The 4,205-nt window shown below is 49.9% G+C and overlaps 1 pseudogene across 1 annotated transcript in view, besides 1 other annotated feature; it reads right to left on the bottom strand.

Moving 5' to 3' along the window:
• Positions 2,899–4,098: an enhancer, noted in NCBI's record as "CDK7 strongly-dependent group 2 enhancer chr10:124556394-124557593 (GRCh37/hg19 assembly coordinates)". NCBI's record gives its function as "activates an origin of replication core promoter dependent on BRD2, BRD4, P300/CBP, MED14 and CDK7 cofactors, with strong dependence on CDK7, by STARR-seq in HCT116 cells {active_cell/tissue: HCT116}" and the evidence as "EXISTENCE:reporter gene assay evidence [ECO:0000049][PMID:35650434]".
• DMBT1L1 (deleted in malignant brain tumors 1 like 1 (pseudogene)) overlaps positions 3,331–4,205 on the bottom strand; it is a 40,952-nt pseudogene continuing 40,077 nt past the window's right edge. The window contains exon 28 of the transcript NR_003570.2: positions 3,331–3,606. The product of NR_003570.2 is annotated as a deleted in malignant brain tumors 1 like 1 (pseudogene) (transcript). The remainder of the gene's footprint in view (positions 3,607–4,205) is intronic.

The raw sequence follows: 4,205 nt of genomic DNA, 5'->3' as shown, positions 1-4,205 counted from the left end.
GTCACCAGCTTGCCTCTCATGAGCACAGTTCTTATTGCACACAGCACCAGGGCCAGGGAAATCGCATTTGCTACATTTCCATTAGTCACAAATGGTCAGACCCTCAGCCTCAGAAAAACTGTTACAAAATATAAGAATGGGGAAAGTACCTCTTAGATGAAAATCGCTTGGGTGCTCCCCAGGAGTTGAAGAAGCTATGGCGTAAAAAAGAAAAATAGTTAGCATAATTACATTCCAAACACACACAATGATATTTAATACTCTTCTCAAATATCATCTAAATCACATGTATGAGTCTGCCTTTAAACAACCCTATCCAGGCTCTTATCTAATAGCTACCACTTAAAATTTGATAGCACCCTGTACATGGGTGTGTATTATTCTGATTAAGAATAAGAAAATAAAAGAAATAACATTCATGTTGGGATTGTGAACATTTGGCCCCATAGACAGGGGTGCCTTGTCAGAATCACAGAGTTCAGCAGCTGCTGCTGGGACCCAGGTGGGGCTGCAGGTAGAGGAGCAGCTCCTGTCCCCAGCCCTTCCTGCCCCCAGGCTCCCCTGCCCCCAGGCTCTACTGCCCCCAGGCTCTCCTACCCCCAGGCCTTCCTGCCCCCAGGCCCTCCTGCCCCCAGGGTCTCCTGCTCCCAGCCCTTCCTGCCCCCAGGCTCTCCTGCCCCCAGGCCCTCCTGCCCCCAAGCCCTTCCTGCCCCCAGGCCCTCCTGCCCCCAGCCCTTCCTGCCCCCAGGCTCTCCTGCCCCCAGGGTCTCCTGCCCCCAGGGTCTCCTGCCCCCAGTCCCTCCTGCCCCCAGTCCCTCCTGCCCCCAGCCCTTTTGCCCACAGGGTCTCCTGCCCCCAGGCCTTCCTGCCCCCAGGCTCTCCTGCCCCAGGCTCTCCTGCCCCCAGGCCCTTCTGCCCCAGGTCTCCTTCCCCTATGGCCGCCTGCCTTCTCTGGATTGTCATGGCGTCTGTTGCATGAACCAACCCTTTGGTTCAAGTATCTTAGAGTCCTGTTGAAATGCTCTCATCTGTGGAAGGGATGACACATCAACCTGCTGACATCCAGCCAAGGGAATGGGAAACAGCCCTGGGTCTTCACCTTCTGGGAGGGTGAAAGGGTCTGGAGCTCAGAGCATTGTCAAGGAAAGTTAAAGCTCATAAGGGAGACCCAGCATAGGCTGGGGTTGGGAGACCAATTAGAGGTGACGGCTAGCCACCAGTCAGCAAATAAAATGGACACAAACTCATAGATACCTGGATGTCCAGCAGCTGCAGAATCTGCAGAGATAAAGGAAATGAGGGTGGTTTAATAATAGAAATTGGAATGGCAGAGTGGTTTAAAGATCATTGTTTCAGTTTAAATGTGACTCAAGGAAGCTGGGTATAAACAACCAGTCTTAAGCATCCAGGCCTCTCCCCTCTGGGTTTATACAGCCAGGTGTAGGTTGTGGGATGTCTAACCTGGCTACAAACTTTGAGGTAGTGATGCTGATAGAATTTGCCTTAGTAACTAAAACACCAACAAAATGGTAATATTTTTGTGTATTTATGGTTTGTCTGATGCTTGACTAAATGTTCTACATGGGTTGCCTCAATTAATCCTCCCAATAACTCCGTGGAATAAATGCCATGATTTTCTTTCTTTTACAATTAATTGAACTTTGCAGGTACTCAAGTTGAATGGGACCTTACCATGTATTGAACAGCTGGTCATATTTTCCAGAGTCTGAGCAGAAATCCACTGTTCTGCATGTGGGGAAAGGTTTAAGGCACAGAGGCATTTTCAGACTCTATCTGAGGATCTCGGGCTTGGTCCAGGCAGCTGCAAGACTGGCCCAGGGCGGACCTTCACTCACCTAAGCAGATGACGCCAGCATCTTCATGGTGCCCACAGTTGTGGGTGTACCAACCTCTGTGAGGGCACTGCCCCAGGGAGGACTCCCTTCCCGTGCAGTTGACGTCATCAAGGAGGATGCTGCCTGATCCAGGGCTGAAGCTGGCTCCTGGGAGGGCAGACACGGCCAGGCCACAGCCCAGCTGCCTGCAGACCACGTGGGCATCCTCTATAGACCAGCTGTCATCACACACGGTGCCCCAGGCATTGGCATGGTAGACCTCGACTCGGCCCTCACATCTGCTGGACCCGTTCACCAGCCGCAGTCCCAGACCTTGCAGACATTCCAAAGAACAACCTCATGAAGTCACATCCACAAAGGCCACCAGAGAAGCCACAATTTCCTGGGAATTGTGCACTGATAATTGAGGATAATGAATCCCACTCCCTCCTTTATTTCATTTTGTTCATGTTTGCCTTGGTACTACTCTGTGTATTTTTTGTGATTGGTTAAGAAATGGTTGTTCCTCGCCATTGGCTGGACCTGGCCTGCCCAAAGGCATAACTGTTCTTTCCCTGTGTGTGGTGAAGTCTTGGTTTCTGACATTCACAGGGTGTGTTGGATTTTTCACAAGAAGCTGTCGTGCATACACTGTGTGTGTGTGTATGTGTGTGTGTATATGTGTGTGGGTGTGAGTTTCTATGTGCCCTTGCACACGTTGATCAAGAGACGGTAACAATACCTCCCATCTCTGTTATTCCTGGGATCAGGCATAACCTATGTGTGAAGACATTCCAGGGATTGGAAAGAGCCATCATTGCAGGCTGCCTCCTATGTTCAAAGGACAATGTTATAAAAGGGAGCAGAAGCTGGTTGTGCTTGCAACACAGATAAGGTGAGCCCACAGGTGGGGATGTGTGGAGATTTGGGGTGAGCAGGCAACCTGGCCTTCCTGGGGGCCTCTTCCAAACCAGCCCCCAAGAGCCATTCTTACATCTCACAGCCTCTTCTTTCCTGTCACTTTCCAATCACAGATTTTCCAGGTGAACCTGGACATTGCCAGCAGTTCCTCCGGCAGCCTGAGGCCATGGAGGAGGGTGGAAGTCAGGACGCTTCCTCCCCGGTGCTGGGATGTTTGTGAATTCAAACTGCATAGAGGGAGGGCCAGAGAAGTGAGAAGAAACGGTTACCTGTCCATGTGGGCACCTCTGTTGGCTTTGGAAAAGATGCTGCAAAAGGGGAAAATTATACATCTTAGGTAAACGTCAAACATCGAACTTTCAGTCCATCGTGGGTGGGCTGTCCGCTCTGTGGATTATCTACAGACACCTTCTGGTTCTGAATGGGATTTCCTTCTCATGGCCTTTCTCTGTGGGCAGTACTCCTTCCATCACCCAACTGGCATGTTAGGAAATATAAGCTCAGGAAAACCGTGGCTTGGTGGCTGATCTTTTTTTTTTAATACATATATTTTAATTTTATTTTTATTTTTTTTGAGATGAAATCTTGCTCTGCTGCTCAGGCTGGAGTGCAGTGGCATGATCTCAGCTCACTGCAACCTCCATCTCCCGGGTTCAAGCAATTTTCCTGCCTCAGCCTCCTGAGTAGCTGGGATTACAGACATGCCCCACCAAGCCCAGCTAATTTTTGTATTTTTAGTAGAGACGGGGTTTCACCATGTTGGCCAGGCTGGTCTCAAACTCCTGACCTCAGGTGATCAGCCCACCTCAGCTTCCGAAAGTGCTGGGATTACAGGCGTGAGTCACTGCACCTGGCCAATAGATATGTTTTAAATTCAAGAAAACATCCTTTGGGGGCCTGTGTTGTTCAGTATAAGCTACCCTGGTGCTACTTCTAAGTGCTTGGGGTCATTTCTCTCTTTCCTAGCTCCTCTCTGCATATTGTACTTTACTCTTCTAAGGGCCTGTCGTGGAAGAGCTGCTGGCTGAATTGAATTGGAAGTGTAAAGACTACTGGCCAAATAGAGCTGGGAGCAAACTATAACTTGATGCTTTCAGCTTCTCCATTCTTAACAATTCTGTCAAGAAGAAGGCAGTACCCAGAGATAAACCCCTGCCAGGCTTTGACATTGGATGAGGTGAGGGTCAGAGATAGTGGCTGACTCTGCGAGTAGTATGCCCCGCCCACTACTGGGCAAGGGCTGCCCTGGATATTCACACAGTGAAACCCCCTGGATTTCCTCATCCTCATCCAGGGGAGAAAATGTAGGCAGGAAGCAGCTCAGAGATTTGCTAGAGGCCTCACAGACAGTAAATGAAGAGGCTGGGAAGATAAGCCCAGGGCATTTGGACCCTAAATAACTACCCTACTGCCTAGGGGGCTTTGCTGGGGCAAGTTATAGCTCATCAA

This window comes from Homo sapiens, chromosome 10, assembly GCF_000001405.40.
Source record: "Homo sapiens chromosome 10, GRCh38.p14 Primary Assembly".
In the NCBI taxonomy this organism is placed as follows: domain Eukaryota; kingdom Metazoa; phylum Chordata; class Mammalia; order Primates; family Hominidae; genus Homo; species Homo sapiens.
Note: the sequence above shows the minus strand (reverse complement) of the source record. Positions and strands in the feature narration are given on the sequence as shown.